Source organism: Homo sapiens, chromosome 9 (assembly GCF_000001405.40).
Source record: "Homo sapiens chromosome 9, GRCh38.p14 Primary Assembly".
In the NCBI taxonomy this organism is placed as follows: domain Eukaryota; kingdom Metazoa; phylum Chordata; class Mammalia; order Primates; family Hominidae; genus Homo; species Homo sapiens.
In genome coordinates this window covers 33283392-33307416 of record NC_000009.12, presented here as the reverse complement: position 1 = coordinate 33307416, position 24025 = coordinate 33283392, and the positions used below count along the sequence as shown (strand labels likewise).

General features: G+C 43.9%; 1 protein-coding gene and 1 pseudogene across 6 annotated transcripts in view, besides 6 other annotated features; both read right to left on the bottom strand.

The window, feature by feature from the left end:
- The window catches only part of NFX1 (nuclear transcription factor, X-box binding 1), an 80642-nt gene extending 63741 nt beyond the window's left edge, over positions 1-16901 (bottom strand). For all 6 annotated transcript variants that reach the window (NM_001318758.2, NM_002504.6, NM_147134.4 and 3 more), the window contains exons 1-5: positions 16820-16901; positions 11990-12997; positions 5996-6154; positions 4149-4226; positions 118-223 (exon numbers count right to left, since the gene is read on the bottom strand). In NM_001318758.2, coding sequence (NP_001305687.1) covers positions 118-223; positions 4149-4226; positions 5996-6154; positions 11990-12997; positions 16820-16844 — 1376 coding nt within the window. In that variant the 5' untranslated portion in view covers positions 16845-16901. The remainder of the gene's footprint in view (positions 1-117; positions 224-4148; positions 4227-5995; positions 6155-11989; positions 12998-16819) is intronic.
- Positions 15657-16856: an enhancer, noted in NCBI's record as "BRD4-independent group 4 enhancer chr9:33290559-33291758 (GRCh37/hg19 assembly coordinates)". NCBI's record gives its function as "activates an origin of replication core promoter dependent on BRD2, P300/CBP, MED14 and CDK7 cofactors, and independent of BRD4, by STARR-seq in HCT116 cells {active_cell/tissue: HCT116}" and the evidence as "EXISTENCE:reporter gene assay evidence [ECO:0000049][PMID:35650434]".
- Positions 15657-16875: a biological region, named in NCBI's record as "BRD4-independent group 4 enhancer GRCh37_chr9:33290559-33291758".
- Positions 16626-16675: an enhancer, noted in NCBI's record as "active region_28294". NCBI's record gives its function as "activates an Ori minimal core promoter by ATAC-STARR-seq in GM12878 lymphoblastoid cells {active_cell/tissue: GM12878}" and the evidence as "EXISTENCE:reporter gene assay evidence [ECO:0000049][PMID:35858748]".
- Positions 16826-16875: an enhancer, noted in NCBI's record as "active region_28293". NCBI's record gives its function as "activates an Ori minimal core promoter by ATAC-STARR-seq in GM12878 lymphoblastoid cells {active_cell/tissue: GM12878}" and the evidence as "EXISTENCE:reporter gene assay evidence [ECO:0000049][PMID:35858748]".
- Positions 16886-17305: an enhancer, noted in NCBI's record as "active region_28292". NCBI's record gives its function as "activates an Ori minimal core promoter by ATAC-STARR-seq in GM12878 lymphoblastoid cells {active_cell/tissue: GM12878}" and the evidence as "EXISTENCE:reporter gene assay evidence [ECO:0000049][PMID:35858748]".
- On the bottom strand, positions 17414-19181 carry LOC100862682 (nucleus accumbens associated 1, BEN and BTB (POZ) domain containing pseudogene; annotated as a pseudogene).
- Positions 18011-18972: an enhancer, noted in NCBI's record as "H3K27ac-H3K4me1 hESC enhancer chr9:33288443-33289404 (GRCh37/hg19 assembly coordinates)". NCBI's record gives its function as "activates a minimal SCP1, AML or CMV promoter by ChIP-STARR-seq in primed H9 embryonic stem cells {active_cell/tissue: H9 hESC(primed)}" and the evidence as "EXISTENCE:reporter gene assay evidence [ECO:0000049][PMID:30033119]".

Below are 24025 nucleotides of genomic sequence, written 5' to 3'. Positions count from 1 at the left end.
GAGGTCCCATATCACCCTTCATCCCAAACCATTACATGCTAACCAGGTATGTTTACTTAGAGCCACCAGCAAAGCATGTCCACCAGCAATCCCAACGGAATTAGCATTCCAACTTACAGGTTACAGGAATGTGGGCAGTCCTGGCCAGGCTGTTTCTTTCTACAAACCTCACCACAGCTATGTGGAATTTCATTTCTGCTCCACTCAGGATTCTTTACCTTGCCTAGAACATATCAGATCAGAGAGTCAATGGTACAAACTTCAACCACATTCTCAACTTTAATGAAACAGTAAAGTATAGCTAGGCAGCATGCAACTTTAGTGTGGTTTTTATTATTTCAACAAATGTATTATCCCATATCTTAAAATAAAAAGATAAATATAATGCTATTCATAAAAAGTTTCACTGAGTATGATAAATCTTAAATCTTGGATTACCTGGGAAAGATAAATAAAAAGTCACTTTTACTTACGAAAATACTATCTTGACTAATGGAAACGTTTAATTTAAGATAAATACCTATAAGACAAGTCGTCTATAACTGGACTTCTGAACTGATATGCGAATTGCTGCTGGAAGGATCAGAGAGAGGGAATAAGAGAAGAGCACCGTGGGGAAAGGGGGGAGGCAGTAAGAAATGGAAAGGACATAAATCCCGAGTAGCAGGAACTCACCTATTCCAGAACTATAAAGTCGGCATAAAAGACCTTATACTTTTATAATCAATGTCACTGCAAATCTTCATGGCACATCTTCCATGGACTCAGCAGAGACAGGGAAGAGTAAAACGAAGGCACAGGATTCCTCCTTGCCCTTGAGGAATTCATCCTCACTTGGGCAATTTGCACACTAAATTGCAGCCATCCCCAGTCCATGGCCTCTGCTTTTCTCTCTATACTATCTCTTTCAGAAATTTTATTCATGTTGAGAGGTGCAATCCACCTAAAGGCCATTGATCCCCAAATCCACATTTTCTCTCTTGCCCTGAATCTTCAGTTTCAGACCCATATGTCCAAATGTCTGCTGAACATTCTTGCTTGGGGTTTCACAGTCACCTCAAACTGGCTTTATCCACAGTCAAAGTTCACATCTTCCCTCTATAACTCCTCCCTTTTCAGGGTTTCCTATTTCTGTCAGTGACGTCAACTCTGTCAGAGTCACACACGCTCAAAAACTACAGTCATCTCTGACACCTCTTTCTACTTAATCACCAAGTTGTGTCAATTTTTCCTACAAAGTGGCTCTCACCTCATCGCTCTCCTGTTCCTGCCTCTCTAACTGGCCAAAACCTCATCTCCAGACTATCACAAAAGCCTCCCTGCCTCTGTGCTTTTTTGCTCCAATACAGTGCCCTGGTTTTCCTCTAACATCTCTCAAGAGCTCTACCTTTTGTCCCTGACTCCAAATGATGTTTTGGGGTTTTTTGCTTTTCTTTCCCCTGCAAGTGTTCTGCATTACACCCTTTTCTCACTCTGTACCCTTTCATCCGCTAGGGTCTTAACTACTCCTCTCAGCTGTGATTCTCATCCTTAAGTCCTGGTCTTTCCTCAAATATTGCTACCTGCCTGTTGGACATATTTCACTGTATGTTCTGCTCACTCCTCCAGCTCAACATTTCTAAACTGTAGTCACTGTCCCCACCAGACCTTCTTCTTTTGACCTGCCCTTTTCCTTGGTATCACCATTTCCAAAAGCATGAAACTTTGGGTGACTCCCATTCCTACTACTGTCAGGAATCAACCTAACACCATATTTTTCTATCACACTCCTTAGAGGCTTGTACTACTCTTCATCTGGATTATAAGTCCCAAATTATTTAGGCTCCAAAATACTCTACTCACTGCTACCAAACTAATCTCCATAAAGAATCATGTTGATGCCCTCAGTGGCTTCCCACAGCCTTCCAAATGAAGTCCCAACATCTGAGACTGGTATCAAAGGGTCAGCCCTTCCTTTCCAGTCATCTCCCACTCCCCTACCATCATAGATCCTGGGCTCTGTAAGTGGATGAATCACTCTTCTCCCAATATACCCTAAACCCTGTTGATTTTGAACTGCCTATGCTATTCCCTTCAACATATCTTTCTGCCTACAAAGATTTTACCTAGTTTACAATGCCAGTTCAATTCTACCTCCTCCAAGAAGGCTTCTCTTAATCATCCAGCTGTAAGTCGTAACTACCCCAAAGATCTCCCATAGTACTTTGTACTTCTAGCAGAGTATCAGGCTAATTGTGTTTTAACTCTTAGACTGTAAGCTCTGGTAAGTTAACCGTTTTATTCGCCTCTGTTTCTTCACAGTGCCTTGAACATTAATAAGTTCTCAATAAAAACATGTTAAATTAATGGTCCCCTGGAAGAACAGTGTGGGGCAAAGTCATCTGCAAATAAGGCCTTTATGTGCATTCTCACATCATTTTACCACTTTCAGATCATCTTGACCTTCACTCCACATTCTTATACTGCCTTAGAGTCTCTCATCTAATTTGCCAGTAGAGGCTTTAACAAGATTTTTAATTCCATTGTGGTACTTTATGTAATCCTTCAAAATAAGGTATTAAGTATTGGTATTGTCCTATTTGCCCAAATTTCCACTGATCTCTTACTTCCAGTTTCATGCTGCCTTTCTGGTAGTATATTCAAGAATATTTATTCCCTCATCTAATACCAATTTAGTATCTATTAAGGCTGAGATTCTGTCAATAAAACATGTAAGACCGGAAAATTCCAAATAAAACAGAGGCCAAAGTGAGACAGAGAATAACAAAGGAAAGCTTCCTTTGTAAGAGGGTGTTTGGGGTCAGATCTTAAATGATACTGTGGTTAAGAATTGAAAGAAAAGAAGGGGAAGTCAAAGAGTTCACCAAGGTATTGCATCTAGAAGATTCAGAGTTGATGGTAAATGACTTGACTCTTTGTGAAAGCTGCTAGCTAAGTAATGGGAAAGGAGAAATATGAGCAAATTGGTTAGAAAAATAAGGAGAGCATGCAGAAACAAACAGGAAGAGCTACTTATTTCAAGAAGGGAATGGTCAAAGGTGTCAAGGGCTATCACTCTACCAAAAAGATTATGAGCTTATAAAATCAGCCCTAGATATGGCTGGAAAGGAGTCATTGGTGATTTCTTTGTTTTTATTTTATTTATTTATTTTTTTGAGATGGAGTCTCACTCTGTCGCCCAGGCTGGAGTGCAATGGCATGATCTTGGATCATTGCAACCTCTGCCTCCCAGGTTCAAGCGATTCTCCTGCCTCAGCCTCCCAAGTAGCTGGGATTACAGACATGCAACACTATGCCCAGCTAACTTATTTTAGTAGAGACGGGGTTTCACCATGTTGGCCAGGCTGGTGTCGAACTCCTGATCTCAGGTGATCCACCTACCTTGGCCTCCCAAAGTGCTGGGATTACAGGCGTGAGCCACTAAGCCCGGCCCATTGGTAATTTCTGAATACGGTTTCAGTGAGGCAACAAGACAGAAGCAAAAATGCAATGCTTCAGGGAGGGAGACAGACAGTAAAGAAACAAAATCTGAAAAATCAACAACTAGAGGGAAGTTAGTCATTAAAAGGCAGGAAAGGAAAAAAAACATGCAGAAATGGGCTAGCAGCAAGAATGAGCATCTGGGTTACAAGAAGTTTTCCCCTAATACTTGGGGGAACTGAGATATTCAAAAACAGAAAGAAGTATTCCATAAAGAGGGAAGATGCCAGGATAGAGTTTATAATGCTGGTTTATAAAAAATCTGATTATAAATACCAATGACTTATTTCCAGGATTAAAATAAACACTATTATTTACTCATACTGCTCAAATCTGGACTATCAAAGCTGTAACTGCTGGGGGTGAGATGAAGCCCACGTCCACACCTATCTCTGCTACATGGTCAGGCCTGGTCTCAAGACCAAGGAGACAAGCACTACAGCCCAGAAGCAGCATGAGCCTGGTTGGCCATCTCCAGAACAGCTTGCCAGGAGCACAAAGGCTGTGGCTCTAGCTGTGTGATGGACCACATAATTACAGTCTTATAGACTCCTAGAGCTTTGAAGTCTCATTAGTAACTTCTAAAACATGCCCCGCAGACCACCTTTCCTGAACTGAGGTACAATGTATGTAGTAAAAGAGACTCCAGTGTATATAAACAAACTTACCACAGAAACAAGTGTAGGTATTAGGAACATGTGCAGAAACATTCTGACAGGCAGGGCACCTCCAACCACTCTGGCCATCTGTCAGGAAAAATGGGAGTAGGCCAAATAAATTTTCTTCCAAAAGCTACATGTAATTAAAAAAATTTAAATCTATAGGAAGACACAATATTGAAGTAGTGGTAATAATTTCAATGTTAAGCATATCAGACATTTAAGGAACAAATTCACAATACTGACTGCTTAGCTTGAATACAGCATTTTCCACTAAATATGGGGTTCATTAAAAAAAAAAAAAAAAAAAGGCCAGGTGTGGTGGCTCATGCCTATAATCCCAGCGCTTTGTGAAGCAGAGGTGGGTGGATCACAAGGTCAGGAGATTGAGACCACCCTGGCTAACATGATGAAACATCATCTCTACTAAAAATGCAAAAATTAGCTGGGCGTGGTGGTGCGCGCCTGTAATCCCAGCTACTCAGGAGGCTGAGGCAGAAGAATCACTTGAACCTGGGAGGTGGAGGCTGCAGTGAGCCGAGATCGTGCCACTGCACTCCAGCCTGGGCAACAGAGTGAGACTCCCTCTCAAAAAAAAAACAAAAACAAACAAAAAAAAACCACTAGCTAGGCATGGTGGCTCATGTGTCTAATCCCAGCATTTTAGGAGGCTGATGCAGAATTGCTTGAGCCTGGGAGTTCAAGACAAGACTGGGCAACACAGCAGACCGTCTCAAAAAAAAAAAAAATTAGCTGGATGTGGTGGCATGTGCCTGTAGTCTCAGCTGCTTGGGAGTCTGAGGCAGGAGGATCATTTGAGTCCAGGAATTCAAGGCTGCAGTGAGACATGATCACACCACTGGACTCCAGCCTGGGTAACAGAGTAAGACTCTGTCTCAAAAAAAAAAAAAAAAAAAAAATACAGTTAGATAGAAGGAATAAGATCTAGTGTTTAGTAGCACTATGGCTAACAACAATTTATTATATATTTCAAAATAACTAGAAGAGTAGAAATGGGATGCTCCTAACACAAAGAAATGATAAATATTTGAGGTGTTGGAATCCCCATATGCCAATTACCCTGATTTGATCATTACACATTGTACGCTTGTATCAAAATATCATGTGTACCCCATAAACATGTAAACTATTACGTATGCATAGTAAAAATTTAAAAATGAAAAAAAAATGTTTTTTTGTTTGTTTGAGACAGGGTCTTGCTCTGTCACCCAGGCTGGAGGGCAGTGGTGCAATCTCAGATCACTGCAATCTCCACCTCCTGGATTCAAGCAATTCTTGTGCCTCAGCCTCCCGAGTAGCTGGGATTACAGGTGCCCGCCACCACGCCTGGCTAATTTTTATATCTTTAGTAGAGATGGAGTTTTGCCATGTTGGCCAGGCTAATCTTGAACTTCTGACTTCAGATGATCCGCCTGCCTTGGCCTCCCAAAGCGCTGGGATTACAGGCGTGAGCCATCATGCCTGGCCAAAAATGAGAAGAAGATAAATTAAAAATAGAATTACCATATGATCCTGCAATCACACTTCTGTTTATGTATCCACAGGAAATAAAATCAGTAGGTCAAAGAAAAAATAATAAGTAAAAGCCATCATTTTCAATAAGAGTGACTGATTTTGTCGTATCTTAAAATATATTTTAATATTGTTGTTTAGCTGGTTTATTTAAGATCTATAACTTAATTCTGGTCATATGAAACACATGATCAAGGTAACATACTCTCCCTGCAGAAAAAGTAGTTAAGAGAAATTAAACTGTATTTTTAAAGCTGGGCTTAATAATACTTAAACGTATCAAATAGGGGAGAATAACTACTCAGAAGAGAGAATTAATTGACCTGCTTGAGATGCTGGAGACCTTGCCCATTTCTTTATGCAGTTCAAATGAAACACATGGTAACAGCTCTGACAACTCCACACTGGGGCCGTGACACGAACCAATTCACAGCACACCATGCACTCGTATTTTTCTGTTGTTAGTTGTTCAATTAGAGAACCTGTTTAAAAAACAAAATAACAAAAAAGATTAACTCAAACACAAAAAACCATTCCTCACTTTAATCAACCAAGGATCAGCAAGTCACTCAAGAGAAGAATCCAAACACAGAGATTTTAAGGGATATCTGATTCTGGGTAAGGCAGCTGGCTATTCAGACTGAGGCCAAAAAGGGGCAGGAATTTGCTGAGGAAGAGGATTTAGGAAGGAGACACTCAGGTGGGGATTCCCACAATTAAGGAAACATTCCCAGGAAAACAGCAGAGTAGCCAAATGCCCCTTGTAACATAGCCTGAGGATCCACTGGGCAATACAGGATCTTGCTTTGCATTTTCTATTTTCCAGGATCCTCTAAATCTATCAGATCCATGGATTTAGGTTAGAAAGAGGCTCGTGAAGCTGTAGTGTCAGCTATAAGAAGCCCAAGTCTGGGCAGGTTCCAACAACCCATGAGTGGTGAGATGGCTCTAGCCGTTGCCCTCAAAGTCTTTAGTCATTCACTTAACAAAGATATTCTTGGTGCCTACCATAAGCCCCATGGTGGTGTTACAGTCCCTGGCTCCAGGAGCTCAAAGTCCAGTGACACAGACCAGTGTGTAGTATCAGAATAATCCTCCCAGATCTATTCCTGAATACCTTCACCCACTTCCAGATTTTTTTCCTCAAACACAATTGCAGCAAAGTCTTTCTAGATTTCAATACAGCCAGATACTCTCAAAACTGAGTGTGAGTGTGTGTATATGCTTTTTTGAGTACATACTTTTAGCACTGCATTTATTTCATAATATTATTGTTATTTGCTTTCAGGTCTAAATAAGTTAAAAGAATAAAATTAACCTTAAATACAACATTGCAAGCACATTACATATTATTATTTAGTCCTCTCAAAAAGGCTGTAACAGGTTGGACACGGTGGCTTACACCTGTAATACCAGCACTTTGGGAGGCCAAGGCGGGCAGATCATGAGGTCGGGAGATCAAGACCATCCTGGCCAACATGGTGAAACCCCATCTCTACTAAGAATACAAAAATTAGCTGGGCGTGGTGGAGTGTGGCTGTAATCCCAGTAGTAATCCAAGGAGGATGAGGCAGGAGAATCTCTTGAACCCGGGGGCGGAGGTTGCAGTGAGCCGAGATTGCACCACTGCACTCCAGAGTGAGACTCCGTCTCAAAAAAAAAAAAAAAAAAAAAAAAAATGCTATAACATAGGTACCATTTTACAGATGAAGAAACTGGCTTCATGTAGTTAGATCATTTATCCAAGGTCACACAACTAGAAATTTAAAAGTCAAAATTCAAACTTGTCAAACTATCTGACTCAAAAGCGCACACTGTAATATTCCATAATATTGGCTCTCCTAAGATTTACTTTCTGATTGTTCAGTTTAATGTCAAAAGAAATAGAGAACACCCTGAGACTGAAAGCTCAGGAGAAGGGAGAGTTTTGTCTACCTTGCTGAGTGTAGTATTTCCAGTGTCTGGCATATACTAGGTGCTCCATTAAATATTTGTTAAATTCATGGATAAAGGAATAAATGAGTGATATTTAGTCTGTTCCACAACCTCTTTCTGTGAAAGTTACAGGCGTCACCAAAGTTTAGGCTCGAGTGCAGTGGCATGATCGTGGCTCACTGCATCTTCAAACTCCTGGGCCCAAGCGATCCTCCCACCTCAGCATCCTGAGTAGCTGGGACCACAAGCGTGTGCCACTATACCTGGCTGATTTTTTTGTTAGTTTTTGTAGAGATGGGGTCTACCTCTGTTGCCCAGGATGGTCTTGAACTCCTGGGCTCAGGTGATCCTCTTGACTCGGTTTCCCAAAGTACTGGGATTACAGAAATTTAACCAAATTAAACAAAAATCTTCCCTGAATAAGAAGTAAATAAAACAAGAGCAGAAACATCTTTTCCAAAAAGGAAAGATGAAGAAACTGTCAGAGATGGTAGGAGACTCAGGAGACATGACTAAATGCAACGTGGTATCCTGGATTGGGTCCTCAAACAGAAAAAGGACATTGGCAGAAAAACTGGTGAAATCTGAATAACATCTGTAGTTTAGTTAATATGATTATACCAGTGCTAATTTCTTAGTTTTAACAAAGGCAGTCTGGTTATGTAAGACGTTAACATTAGAGGAAGTTGGGTGAAAGATATATGGGAATTCTTTGAACTATCTTTGCAACTTTTCTATAAATCTGAAATTATTCCAAACTGAAACATTTTACAGACAAACACCTTTTTCTCTACTAGGCTTTGACACTTCAGTAAATGCCAATTCCATTCTTTTAAGTTGCTCAGGCATAAAATCTTCCTTCCAAATACATCCAAAATCTATCCAATTGTTACCTTTTCCACACTATTACTCCAGTCTAAGTCTCCATCATCTCCTACCTGAACAACTGCAATAGCCTCCTAACTTGTCCTGTTGCCTTCTTAGAGCCTATTCTCCACACAGCAGCTTAATAATATTTTTTTTTTTGAGACAGGTTCTTATTCTGTCACCCAGGCTAGAGTGCAGTGGCACAACCACTACTTACTGCAGCCTTGACCCACTGGGCTCAAGCGATCCTCCTAGTTCAACCTCTTGAGTAGCTGGGACTATAGGCATGTGCCACCACGTCCAGCTAATTTTTATTTTTTTGCCTTTTGCAGAGATGGGGTCTCATTAAGTTGTCCAGGCAGGTCTTGAACTCCTGGGCTTAAGCAATCCTTCTGCCTTGGCCTTCCAAAGTGCTGGGATTACAGATGTGAGCCACCACATCCAGACCCTAAGTGATTATTTTAGAATGTAAGTTCATGACATCCCTCTTCCCAGGACCTTCCAGCAGCCTCTCATCTTACTCAGAACCAAATCCAAGGGACTCACATGATCCAGCCCTTGCTATTTCTCTGACCACCTTTCCTGCCCCTATCTTCATTGCCTATAATACCCCTCCCCACATCTAAATTTGCTCCTCCCTCTGCCTAGAATGCTCTTTCTCAAGCTAGCCACATGGTGCATTTCTGTACTTCATTCTTGTCTCTGTTCAAATGTCTCCTTATCAAAGAGGTCAACCTATGTAAAATAGCACTCTTGTCACTCTGTCTTCTTAACCTTCTTAATATTTCTTTTTAGTCCTTATCACCACCTGACATATTAAATATCTAAGTGCTTTCTGCCTGTCTTCCCTACCAGAATGTAAATTCCATCAGCATTCCCTGTACCTAGAACAGTGCTTGGTATATAGTATTTATGCAACAAATATGAATGAAGTGTTCTCAAAAATGATATGAATAATGTGAGAATGTTAAGGCCCCAAGAGATTTGTTAAATAGAATTCTAAGATGGTCTTCCAGATTCCCACCTCCCTGGTATGCATACCCTATATAATCTCCTCCCCTTGAGTATGGGTGGGCCTGACTTAATCAAGTAAGCCATTTTAAAAGAGTTGAAAATCAAACAGAAGTCAGAGAGATCTGAAGTGGCAGCAGCTGCTTTCCCGCAGGCCTCAAAGAAGCAAACTATCATGTTGTGTACAGAGTCATGTGGCAGGGAAACACAGGTGGCCTCTAGGAGCTGAGAGAGACACCCCTGGCCAACAGCCAGCAAGAAAACAGGAACCTCAGTCCTACATCTGTAAGGAACTGAATCCTACCAACAACCAGTGACTGAAAGAGAACCCTGAGCCTCAGATGAGATCACATGCCTAGCCAAATTTGGAGACACTGAGCAGAGAACCCAGCTAACCAGGACCCATTCATCTGACCCACAGAAACAGTGGCATAGTAAATGTGTGTTATCATAAGCCACTACATTGTGATAATTCACTATAAAGCAAGAGGTAATTATTAACCAGCCTTAAGGATTCAGTAACAACTCTGGTATAACATTGCTTTGCTTCACATATACATTGAGGTTCCAAGAATAATCCTGATAAAGCAAGAAACTAGAACTATAGGCTGGTGTAAAAACAGGCCCTGGGTAGATGGTGGCTTCAAGGGTTGGGCTGTATCTCACATTAAACTGGAGAGGGATTAAGATAGTGAAGGTCCAGGAGGAAGAGCTAGCAGAATAAAACTATTCAGCTTGATGAAATATACACTTAGGGCAAAATGATAGATGTCTTCGAATACTGCAAAAAGCTGATTTGCAGTAAGGAGAGGGGGAGCTGTGAGAAGACAGACTAGTTACTATGCTGCTCCGGAGGATAAAACTTGAACCAAAGGATAGGAAGGAAAGGAAAGAAGCTTTCAGTTCAATATAAGGATGAACTTTTTAATGGTCAGAACTGAGTACCTACTATGTTTCAAGAGCTGTGTGGGGCAGCAGGGTCACAAAAAAAGAAAAGAAATATACAGTGTCTGTTTTTAAGGAGCTTACAGACTAGTGGAGGACAATGAAGCATAAATAAATTATGGTTTCCAGTGTAAGTTCTGTAATAGAAGCATGCAAATTTAAGAGAAAGACATAAGCGTGAGGGCTGTAAGAGATTAACGCTATCTATAAAGGTGAGAAAAGGTTCCCTGGACATGTGACTAAAGTAACTTTTTTCCCCCCGCAAAACAGGGTCTTGCTCTGTTATCCAGGCTGGAGTACAATAGCTCACTGCAGCCTCGATCTCCTGGGCTCAAGTGATCCTCTCACTTCAGCTTCCTGAGTGTCTGGGACTACAGGCATGTGCTAACATGCCTGGCTAATTTTTTTATTTTAATTCTTTTGTAGTGACAGGGTCTCCTTATGTTGCCCAGGCTGGTCTTGAACACCTGTGTTCAAGTGATCCTCTCACCTCAGCCTCCCCAAGTGCAGGAATTACAGGTGTGAGCCACCATGCCTGGCCTAAAGTAGCTTTTGAAAAATGAGTAAGACTTCGTCAGCGAACTGAGTGACAGAAATTCTAAAGAGAGGGAGCCACATGCAACACCATGCAAAGACAAAAAAGTGTAGAATCCAGGGAATAAAATGTGGTAGATATTGAGGCAGCAGAAGATGGGACTGTTGAGTAAGGCAGAAGCAGTAAACGGAATTAAGCAGAGGAGTGACACAGTTTAATGTGTGTTTTAGGCAGGGCGCAGTGGCTCACGCCTGTAATCTCAGCACTTTGGGAAGCCGAGGCGGATCACCCGAGGTCAGAAGTTTGAGACTAGCCTGGCCAACATGGTGAAACCCCATTTCTACTAAAAATACAAAAATCAGCCAAGCATGGTGGCGGGCGCCTGTAATCCCAGCTACTCGGGAGGCTGATGCAGGAGAATCATCTGAACCCAGGAGGAGTTGCAGTGAGCTGGGATCGCACCACTGCACTCTAGCCTGGGCAACAGTGAGACTCCTCTCAAAAAAACAAATAAATAAAATATGTGTTTTATAAAGATTGCTCTCTGATGCTGGTTTAAGAGGTGAACTGAAAGAGAGAAATTAAGAGATGATAAGACCAGTTAGGAACTGCTGCAACTAAGCAGACCAGATGAGGCAGATTAGATGATGCAGGATGAAACCAAAAGAGGCAGCAGAGATGTTACCACCCACCACTTGTTTTCACAACTCAAAAAAAATCTTGTAACCAGACATCTACACCACCCGTATTTGCATTTTTGAAAACCCTTACAAAATTCCTCATTTGGAAAAGAAAAAGAATTCTTATTTGTATTTGCTTGTGATATGCATAAAACTAAGTGGTTACCTATTGGGGCAGGGAGCAGCGAGTGGTGGTAGAACTTAGGCAGACAGTGAATAAAGATTGAGACTTTTTACAGTGTAACTTTCCATACTTTCTGCTTTCTAAATTATGTGAATATATGACTTATTTAAAAATTTAAATTAAAAAGACAACAAAATATTTCCTATCTAGGTAGGTTTACCTGTGTGCGTTTCCACATTCTTTAGCACATGGTTCTGTTTGCCTCGGGAGAAAGGAGATACTACTTGAGGATCCTGCCTCCGTACAGTGCATTTCTCTTGGTCAACCCTCCTGGAAGACTTGTTGATGACTGCCAAGTTCTCACTGTCACAGGTAGATTTTGCTGGTCTTTCATTGAGGTCATCCTTTGGAATGGGGCCCATGTTGTTTCTGTGTCCTGCGTTTGTATGTCGGTGGCCCTCCTGTTTTGGTGGATTTCTGCCTGGTCGTGGCCTGGCCCCCTCCACTTCCCAGGGAGGCCTTTTCTGTGGGTATCTTCTCTGCTCATTTCGTCTGGCTCCATACCCATCCAATACTCCTTTTCTAGAGGATGCCTCTGAAGAGTCAGGGTGGAAAACCCCCACAGGTTTGGTACTTTCGGGTCCAGCATCCTCCGGTTTTGGAGTTGTTCGGTTACTCCATTCACATTTGAGTTTCCCCTTGACTTTTGGTCCTCTACCATAGCTGTATACAAACTGTGTTGCTTTTTTGGGTTTTGCTCCCCTGGGATCTGCACCCACAACTTCCTTCTCACTCTCAGAAGGACTATGCTCTCTGAGGTCTGTCCCACTCTCTGATCTGGTCGAGCTCTCTAATCCAGCTGTATCTGAGGTCTGCTCAGCAAGACTCTGTGCTTTCTTGACTCTGATATGGTGCTTCTCATTCCTCAATTTCTGCCAAGGTTGATTCTGAAGGCCATGGCTCTTGGGCGATTTATTACAAGGAGAGGACTGGAAAGACGTCTGCTGACTCTTAGGTTTGCTTCCTGACGGATGATAACTATGCTGATGAACAGCAGAGATTTCATCATAAGGGACCTGCCTGGAAAGGTGACAGGGAGGTGGTGAACTGTAATTTCTTCTACCAATCCTATTAGAGTCTAGTCTCCTTTGAGTCCCACAATTTAGACCAGAATTTTTTTTCTCCTGAGGAATGAATTCAGCAGCATCTGTATTGAATTTAAAAGTACCTAGGACATAAAAAATAGACATGCCAGTAAAGAGATTAAACTTCATCCATGAAACTCATAGACTCCAAGCCAAATCTAAAAATTACTTTCCTTAGAACTTTGTATAAAACATGCTGTTAAGTAAGAACTATGTTTCCAGTGAAGGTGATGGGTTCAAGGTGCTTGTGGAGGACTAATCAATCATTATTCCATGTCCAAAAACCAAACACCAATAGCCAATGACAGCTAAGTGTTGTCGAGTAAAAATGCTCACCTGGGCCATAAAGTACTATGTATACATCTATTCATTTTATTACAAAAATTTAAGGCCAGCTAACAGTTCAGGGGTATCAATCATCAGGTTCCATGTGGTCTTCTTTCAAAACAGTAAAGTAGCATTGTGTAATATCAAGTAAACAGGCTTTGGACTAAGCCAAAATGGGTTAAAGTCCACCTGTCCAACTTATTGTATGAACTTAGGGATATCACGTGCCTGCTTTTAGCCTTAGTTTCCTTGTCTATGGTAAAGGATGACAATACTTATTTCAACGGTTACTGAGAAATTTAAATATGATTTCATAGATAGTACTTAATAAGTGTATTAGTTTTCATCTCTTTCCCCTAGGAATATATTTTGGGTTTTCCATACATAACCTCTATAATCTGGTCTACAATCCCAAAGTGGAAAAAATTAAGCATACTCCCCTTCAACCCACTCATGTTCCCCCAGAAGATGCTTCTTGGTACAGTCAATTCAGTCCCTGAAGCACAAAGACAAAATGGTTTGCCTAAGGACATAAAATTAGTAGCAAAGTCAGAACTATGTGTAGCATACAGAATATACTATAAATTGGTAAGACCTGGAAGACATGGGTTTAAGTCACTTATCACTTATTTTAACTTCAGGAAAGTTACTTAGCCCCATTTTCCTTACATGTAATGAAGATAGTAACAACCTCTATATCAAAGAGTTGCAGTGAAGAGTAAAGCAAGTTAATAACACACACAAAATGGTTAAAATGGTACTCTATCATTGCTGTTAGGACTACAGAGGATCTGAAACACACAGGCTTGAGCATTGATGGGTGCAGTATAGAGCCTGAGGGTTTCAGGTTTAATAATAAGGCCTAACATTTATTAGGTATTATGTGCCAGGCACTATCCTAAGCACTTTACATGTATTAACTCATTTAATCCTTACATTCCTGATGAGAAAACTGAAGCACAGAGAGTAGGAACTTGCCCAAGGCCACAGAGGAATTCCAAGGAAGACTCGGGGTTCCAACTCAGTTTGTGTATTAGAGACTGCGCTCTTACACTAACAGAGCTTGGGCAGTGGGTACCATAGAAACATACAGTGAAAAATGGAATGATCATAAAGGTCATAGAGTAACCTCTCACCCAATTCAGGATTTGTCCTGAAAGCTTTCACATAGGCAGAATTCTAGGGGATGGGATGGAGGGCCTCACAAAATCACAAAAGGATTAGACAAATGCAGAGGGTGGCAGAGGTATTCTGGAAACATAAGATAATTTAAAGGTTGGAATGGTTAAATTGGACCAGTGGGTATTGTGTAGTTCTCGCTTGCTTGAAAAAGCGAGACTGGAAAGAGGGGCAGAAATAAGATCAGTAAAGATGTCTAGAGAAGCCTAGTAAAGGATAGGAAAAGAGTGTTTCTCGTTAAGCAGTAATGAGTTGATGCAACTAGAGAATCCAGAGAAGGCTGCATGTACTCATATACAGGATATGTTCAACTAGACATGAGGCAGCAGGCAAAGCCCTCAGGAAAAAAACCCATAAGAGACATGAGGAAGGGAAACAGGACACATTGATCAGGAAACTGGCCATGGCAAAGATCAGAGGCACCATTTTTATTTCACTATTTCAAGTAGCTGGAAGTTAGTAAACAGGATGTCTAGTCACCACGGCTAGAATACAAGTGGTACCCTAAATCCAAGATAACACAGCAGCACAGTAGGTGTCCAACAGGTGGGAAAGGCAGACTAAAGGGAAATCCAACTGGCAGATTACAAAGTCCAGAGACAAGGCTGGCATTGCAGAGTCTGCTCACCGGCAGAAAAGTATCCTCTGCACTGGGCTTCTGTTTAAAGACTTTGATGATGAGGGTGTGGGCTAAAGATGATGCTAAAATACGAACATGGAATGGGAACTAAAGCAAAATCAAACTAAAGCACATGAAAAGGAGTAAGGAGGTCTTTGGACTAGAAGATTTTGCCTCATTAGATACTTTCTGGGTTGGAGGTAATAACTTGGGCACAACACCAAAGTTCAACACGAAGACTCACAACTAGGCCCCACCGAATTCTTCTTCAAACACTGAAGGGTACAGAAATGAGTCAGAAACGAGCCTGTGGATGAGACGATCAATAGATCCAGTTTAGAGAATCTGGTGAAGGACTAGGTGAGGAGAATAACAAAATACCCAGCCCAAAAAGTTTTCCAACCCCAAGGAAGACTTAATATCCACATCAAGACTAGGGTACACCAATGCAGTGTGTTTTCCAACTTTTTTTTTTGAGACGAAGTCACACTCTGTCGCCCAGGCTGGAGTGCAGTGGCACGATCTTGGCTCACTGCAACTTCCGCCTCCAGGGTTCAAGCAATTCTCTTGCCTCAGCCTCCGGAGTAGCTGGGACTACAGGCGCGTGCCACCATGCCCAGCTAATTTTTTGTATTTTTAGTAGAGACGGGGTTTCACCGTGTTAGCCAGGATGGTCTCGATCTCCTGACCTCGTGATCCGTCCACCTCGGCCTCCCAAAGTGCTAGGATTACAGGCGTGAGCCACCACGCCCGGCCCTAACTTTTTAAACTAAGAACCATAGTAATAAATACATTTTACCTGCCACCCAGTATACAAATACATATATGGTCTTCTTGGTGCCCCAACGGCTGGTCAGGGACAGAGCTGAGATTCAAACCAATGGTTTCCAAACTCCATTCTGCAAACTGCTGCCCTGTTTTCCAGAGTGGGCCATAAAATCAAATGAAGGCAGTGGGCTGTGACATATTTTTAAACGAAACAGAAAACAGAATATATTGCTGATTGTAAAACAAACCAACCAACCTCACTGCTTCCAGAAACTTCTGGTTCGCTTTTATATTTATGTAAGTGTACAATATTTAAGGTCGCGATGCAAAATGTTTCTTTTGGTTGCTGTCCAACACATTTGGAAAACACTGATCTATGGAACACCCTGAGGAAATGGATGTTATATCAACGAACAAATGAGGCTGTCTCTACACACTGAGGCAACTCCAGGAGGGGGAGTGAGTGAACAATTACAGAATAGGTACAGTACAGGGCGGGAGCCATCACAGGAATTAACTTATCTACTCCCAACTGACAGATGAGGAGACTGAGACTGAGTCACACGGGGTTCGCAGCAGGCTGAGACTCTAAACTACTGGAATTCGGCTCGCGCCCACGCCACCACTCCAGGCGGTATGAGCACACCACACCCTACACGTCAAGAGCCCGCCACCGTCACTGGCTGTGACCTGGCCGACGCCCGCCTGTCGAAGGTCAGTGCGCCGCTGCCCCAGAAACAGCCTGTGGGAAGGCAGGGCACCCACATCGACTCGCAGCGCCGGGACAAGTCCTCTCTCCTCCGAAACCCAGCTACTGGGCTTCACCATCTAGTCCAAGAAGACACAGATCTTCGTACGCACGATGCGCGGGGCTTGGCCCTTCCGAGCCACTATCCTACGCCCTAGCATGTGCTACTCTCGCGATATGAGTGGCTGAGGCCCTAGAACTTCGTCACTGACCCAATTTCCGCTCCCTGAAAGGGGCCCAGTCCCGCTCGGGCCGGGACAATACCTGAGACAGGAGGCGCCTCCGCCATCCCGTGCCGCAGAACCTAGATCGAGCTGTACAGCCAAGTCAGCACTGTCACCAGGTCACGTGCCCCGGACTTCCGGCGCCGCGAGAATATTCGCATCTGCGCGCCGTGTAGACGGCCACAGAGGTTGCGCAGCCCGAATCTGTGTGGCGCGTTCGTGACGTCAGATAGACGCGCCAGGTGTCGGGCGGGAGGAGGAGACTAGTAGCTGGATGGAAATAGCAACAATCGCAGGAGGGAGGGCGGCGACTTGCGTAATCATTGTGGTTTTCCTTTTTTTATTTTTTGATATAGGGTCTTGCTGCCTTACCCAGGCTTGAGTGCAGTGGTCTGATCATGGCTCACTATAGCTTCAGTCTCTAATCCTCCCGCCTCAGCCTTCCGGTAGCTGGAACTACAGGCGGAGCCACCATGCGCAGCTATTTTTAGTAGAGACGGGTTTCGCCATGTTGCCCAGGCTAGTCTCTCCAACTCCTGGCCTCAAGCGATCCTGCCGCTTTGGCCTCCTAAAGTGCTTGGCTTACAGGCGAGCCACCACGCCTGGCTCCAGACTTTTTTTTTTTTTTTTTTTTTTACAAAGGCGTTTATTCTCATCAGTATCACCGATATTCTCATGGTTCACATTTGCCAACGCCGCTCCTCTCCTTACAGTAGTTAAATGTGCAATCTCACTTGGGGGCCCAGGGAGGGGTGGGGGCTCGGCCCAGGGTGGGGAGGGCGTTGGCACTTCACGTGGACAGGGTGGGCAGCCTGTCCTGCGTGAAAGAGGTGTGGGTGAGTGGGCGGCCAGGGAAGGGGAGTTGGCAGGGGAGGGCCCCGCAGTCTTTTTTTCTTTGGTGGTTGGTGATTCTCCATTCAGATTCCTTCCTGGCTTCCCAGGGTAGGGGAACCATGCAGCTCAGGGCAGGGCAGGGGAGGAAGAGAAGGAAAAAGCAGCAGGCCGCCCGGGGGGAAAGGTGGAGGGTGAACGGCAGGGCAAGGGGGAACGGGTGGCTCCTGAGGTAAGGCACAACCCTGTCTTTGGCTTTCCTGGTGAGGAGTTTCCTCCCCTGCACCCCCTGCCCGACGCTTCTCCCCACCCCCCCACCCCCCAGACCCACACACAGTCCCAGGAGCCAGGGGGCACCACCTCCTGGGGTCCCTGAAACAAGTGGGCTCTGCCACCCAAGCCAGTGCCGCAGGGGCTCGAGGAGGGACACCCGAGGAAAAGGCAGAGAGGGGCAGGCAGGGGCCTACCCAGGACAAGGGGGTGGGGGTGAGAAGACCCTAGGCCCAGGAGCTGGGCCCCCCGCCCCAACTAAGTCCTGGAAGTGGGGGAGCACCTGCTTCCTTTCGGGGGTCTGGCTGGAGCCCCGGTCTGCCCCTTGGCCTCCGTCAGGCCCAGCCACTTGCCAAGTGACCAGGGCATTGTGCTTTGGGGTAAACGCTGGGGTGGGGTGGCAGGCCAGGAGGCAGGGGGAGAGGAGGGATGACTAAGGTGCTTGTGCTTTAGCTGGGGGTGTCGATATCCCCCACTCGGGCCGGCTGGGGGCTAAGGTGCCAGGCCCCGGCCAGGAAGACAGTGCCAAGACCCCAGCAGACCGTGGCACTGACCCCCACAACAAGCAGATGTTAAGAGGGACCCCCAGTGGGCCAGCGGGGCTGCTGGTCCCATCAGGGGGATGGTCTTCAAATCAGATTACAAGGGTCCAGTAGGGGCTGGCCCCCACCCCATCTCCTGAAATCCCCCTGCCCCTGGAGAGACCCCTGGGAGCAGTAGGTAGGCGGGGGTTGGGGAGGCAGAGGAGAGGCAGGGAGGACGAGGGCCAGAAACGCAAACAAGGATGTGGATGGTGAAATGACACCCCGCATAGGGGGATGGGGAGTTAAAAAAGAAAAAAAACTCTCTGCCTTCACATGAAAATCTAAAACAACAACAAAAAACCACCCACTCTGGGCGAGAACAAAAAGAGAGGAATGGTAACAGAGAAAATTCTGCAAACAACTGCTAACAATGGAAGTGGACCCGGCCCTGCCCTGCCCTGCCCTGCCCAGCCCCCAGGAGCTGGGCCCAGCCAACCAGCCAAGGCCTGGGACACCCTGAAACTATAGCCCTGTTGGGGAAGGTGGACAGGGGAGGGGGAACCCGGTCGGACCCACAGGAGCCTAGGCAGCAGCTGGGACTGGAGTCCTACACCCACACTCCACACACACCCACACCCACACACACACACACACACACACTCAGCCTGCCCCCCAGCCCCCCAACACCACCCTGCCTTCCAAGGCCCCCCCACCCCTGGGGACCGAGGGGGACAACAGACACAGCCCCATTGGTTTGAAAAATAAAAGGAATCTTATCACTCTGTCGCCTAGGCTGGAGTGAAGTGGCACCATCTCGGCTCACTGCAAACTGCCTCCCGGGTTCAAGCGATTCTTGCGCCTCAGCCTCCCAAGTAGCTGGGATTACAGGCACCCACCACCACGCCCGGCTAATTTTTGTATTTTTAGTAGAGACGGGGTTTCATCCTGTTGGCCAGCTGGTCTTGAACTCCTGACCTCAGGTGATCCACCCACCTAGGCCTCCCAAAGTGTTGGGATTACAGGCGTGAGCCACCGTGCCGGGCCAAACATTTAATGATGGTCTTTTGAGTTTCCTCCTTTTAAAACTGCTTATCCATATCCACTGCCCATTTTTCTTCCTGATGGTTTCTTGTATATTACAGGTGTCACTCGTCAGTTTTAGACATTTAAATTGTCTTCTATTCCATTAAATATTAATTTTGTCCTTTGTTGAACATAAATCCTTAATTTTGACAGCTCATCAAACTTTATAGTCACCTTTAAAAATTACCAGGTGTATCAGTCTGGGTCCAATCAGGAGAGAAGAACCCCACTTTTTGAACAGGAATTACATTTTTTTAATAAGGAAAGTTTTATTTAAAGATTTATTAAGTATAATAGGGGGTTGGAATAATAATGGATTGGCTAGTAAAGAAGCAAGATAATTCCAAAACAGGATTACCATATATAAAGAGCAGCTAGGGCTGAGGTAAGAGTGTCAAAGAAGAGCCGAGACCAGAGCTGGCCTGCAGACCTCGTTAGAGAAAAGACCTGTGGCTCACTGGATGGCATGGAAGTTGCCAGACATTTTTCTTACGGAGTGCTGGTTGAAGCCATTCTTGGGGAGGTGTCTCACCAGAGGTACTCTACTACAAACCATCTGCGGGGAGTGCTAGGAGAAGTTTCTGACAACTGGTCACTATATAGTGCGATAGCCAGGCACTGAAGAAGCCAGTGCATTGCAGAAGCCATTGAAGAAGTTGCCCAGACTACAGAAGCCTGCCCCACTGAAATCAGAAACAGGAGCCAAAACCCTTTTCCTCCTGCAGTATCTCTCCAGTGCCCTCTGCTGACAAGGTTTAATATCTGCCAGCTGGCAAAGAATAAATAAAAGGCCGAAATCCATTTCACAGAGCAAGCAAAAACAATAAATGTAGAACTGAAAGCAAATTCATAATTGGCACTCTACAGAATCTACTCATTATTTTCAAAACTTGTGAATAAATGAAAGTAAGCAAGCATTTATCTTGCCTTTCCTATACAAACTATTTCATGCAACATACTAAAGCTTATGGCAGGTGGTGAAAGCTGCAGGTGGTGAAAGATGGAAATATATAGCTGTAAACACTTATATTTGAAAAAGAACTCCAGATAATGGAATATTATTCAGTGCCCAAAACAAATGAAGCCAGCATGTTGGTGTTTACCTGTAGTCTCAGATACTTGGGAGGCTGAGGCAAGAGGATTGTCTGAGCCCAGGTGATTTCAAGCCCAACCTGGGCAACATAGCGAGATACTATCAAAAAACAAACAAACAAAAAATACCCAAAGACCAGGCATGGTGGCTCATGCCTGTAATCTCAGCACTTTGGGAGGCCAAAGCAGGTGGATCGCTTGAGTCCAGGAGTTCGAGACCAGCCTGGGCAACATGGCGAAACCCAGTCTCTACCAAAAATACAAAAATTAGTCAAGCTTGGTGGTGCATACCTGTAGTCCCAGTTACACAGGAGGCTGAAGTGGGAGGATCACTTGAGCCCAGGAGGCGGAGGCTGCAGTGAGCCAAGATTGCACCACAGCACTCCAGCCTGGGTGACAGAGCGAGATCCTGTCTCAAAAACACCAAACAAGACAAAAAATCCCAAATCCATATGAACTATCAAGCCATGAAAAGACATGGAGAAAACTTAAATGCATATTGCTAAGTGAAAGAAGGCAATCTGGAAAGACCATTTACTATTTGATTCCAACTATGTAACAGTCTGGAAAAGGCAAAATTATAGAGACAGTAAAAAGATCAGTGGTTGACAGGAGTTAAAGGGGAGAGAAGGATGAATAGGCAGAGTACAGAGGACTGCTAGGGTAGTGAACTATTGCTAGGGCAGTGAACTATTCTGCATGATACTACAAAGGGGGATACATGTCATTATATTTGTTAAAACCCATAGAATCACTAGCATGGCGGCTCATGCCTGTAATCCCAGCACTTTGGGAGGCCAAGGCGGATGGATCGCCTGAGCCCAGGAGTTCAAGACCAGCCTGGGTAACGTGGTGAAACCCCATCTCTACTAAAAATACAAAAATTAGTTGGGCATGGTAGCATGCGCCTGAGGTCCCAGCTACTCAGGAAGCTGAGGTGGGATCACTTGAGCCCGGGAGGCGGAGGTTGTGGTGAGCTGAGATCATGCCACTGCACTCCAGCCTGGGTAACACAGTGAGACCCCATCTCAAGCAAAAAACAACAAAAAACCCCATAGAATGTACATCAAGAGTGAACCCTAATGTAAACTATAGACTTCGTGTGATAATAATGTGTCAGTGTAGATTCACTGATTGCAACATACCACCGTGGTGAGGGAAGCTGATAGCGGGAAGGTTGTGTGTTATATGGGAGCTCTCTGTGTTTTCCACTCAATTTGTTGTGAACCCAAAACTCTAAAAAAATAAAGTTTATTAATAAAAAAGAAGAAAAATTGCAAATCAATAGCCTAAACTTCCACCTTAAGAAATTGGAAAAAGAATAACAGGGCTGGGGTGGGGGTGGTTCACACCTGTAATCCCAGCACTTTGGGAGGCCAAGGCGAGAGGATCGCTTGAGGCTAGGAGTTTCAGACTAGCCTGGGCAACATAGTGATACCCCATCCCTACTAAAAATTGAAAAAAAAATTAGCTGGGCTTGATAGCACATGTCTGTAGTTCCAGCTACTAGGGAGGCTGGGGAGGACTGCTTGAATCTGGGAGGCTGAGATTGCAGTGAGCTATGATTGTACCACTGCACTCCAGCCTGGGCAGTAGAGTGAGGCCCTGTCTCAAAAAAAAAAAAAAAAAAAAAAAGGAAAAAAGAAAAAGAAGAGCAAACAAACTAAACCAAAGCATGTAGAAGGAAAAGAAATAATAAAAGACCAGAAATTATTGAAATAGAAAAAGAACGGAAAAAAATCAACAGTTCATTGAACCAAAGTGATAAAAATGTTTAGAGAGAATAATCAAGAAAAAAGGAGAAAAACTGAAATTACTAAAATGATGGATGAAAACATAGGCATTACTACCCACATTACAGAAATAAAAAGGATCAAAAGGGACTACTATGAACAACTGCATGCCAACCAAATTAGATTACTTAGATGAAGTGGAAAAATTCCTAGGAAGACACAGAGTACTCAAGAATAAATAGAACATCTGAATACACCTATAACAAGTAGAGACTGAATCAGTAATTTTAAAAACTTCCCATAAAGAAACACCCAAACCCACATGATTCTACCAAATGTTCAAGGAAGAATGAACACTAATCCTTCACAAACTCTTCCAAAAAATACAGGAGGAGGGAGTACTTCCCAATTTATTCCGTGGACGAACAACTTTACCTTAGGGCAATCATTGCCTACTCCTTCACTGCAGAAATTGATGGTAACAGTCCAGAATGCTTAACCATGAAAATAGGTTCAGACTGATCAGGCACCACAGAGCAGCAGTTAACTCTGGATACACTTAAGTACTTGGGGGAGCTTTTAAAAATCCAAATGCCCACACTGTATCCAGATCTATTATATCAGAATCTATGGGGGTAGGACCCAGACATCAATATTTTTAATAACTCTCTTGGTGACATAACTATAAGAAAACACAAAAGGAAAGCTAAGGGATATGGATGATAGAAGTGCCAAACTTTTTCTATACAGAATCATATCAATCTCCTTCCCCATTCCTGCTAAACTCTCAGAACTGACAGATTAAAACCTAGGACCCCCTGCACTCAATTCTGCTCTTTCCTAGTAGTTAACAGGTGAAATATTGACCAGTGAGGTTGTCTGGTGGTAGCTATAGGAGTGATGATCACAGGCTTTATGGTACCTAGGGCTTTCTAATACAGGACTCACTCCTTCCACTTTCCTTTAATTCACTGGTATTGATGCAGACCAGGGCATGCCCTTTGGCCTTTCCCCAATACAGGAAGAATTAGCAGAATGACAAAGACATAAGGAAGCTTCAGGTAGGAGAAACCATGAACAGAGGCAAGGAATCATGGCTATATGGTGGATGTGGGGGGACCAGATGCAGAACAATTACTAGATCACAAAATTGAAAAGTGTGACATGACACAAGCTGCAGAGCAATTATTCTGTCTCTTACTGGCAAGTGACAGGAACCCAATGCCAACTACTTTAAGCAGAAAAGGGGGTTAAGTTTATTTGCAGAATCCTCAAATACCTCACAGAACGAAGAGTTGTAGAGACTTGGAATGTCAAGGATCAGAATTCAGAGCTGAGTGCCATGGACATCTTTCAGTCTGTCTCTCATCTTGGCTCCCCTCTGGCTTCAATCTCTCATACTGACAAAGAGTAGCACTTCCCCTACTTTCTATTTAGAAAATGTGAGTTATGGACTCTGATAGACACAGCGTGACCACATACACACTTCCATAGCTTGGAAGGGTAAGGACAGTACTACTCTAAAATTGGCATGTTCCTAATAATCGCACAGTTGAAATGGGGGAGCAGTTCCCTTGAAAGAAAGGAAATGCTTTCTGAAAAGACTAGGCAATAAACCATTACAGATAGGCAGAGGCCAGGTCATTGGCAGCTTTTTATGCCCCGGTGGAAGTATTAGAGGACATTAAAGAATTCAAGTCAGATTTATATTTT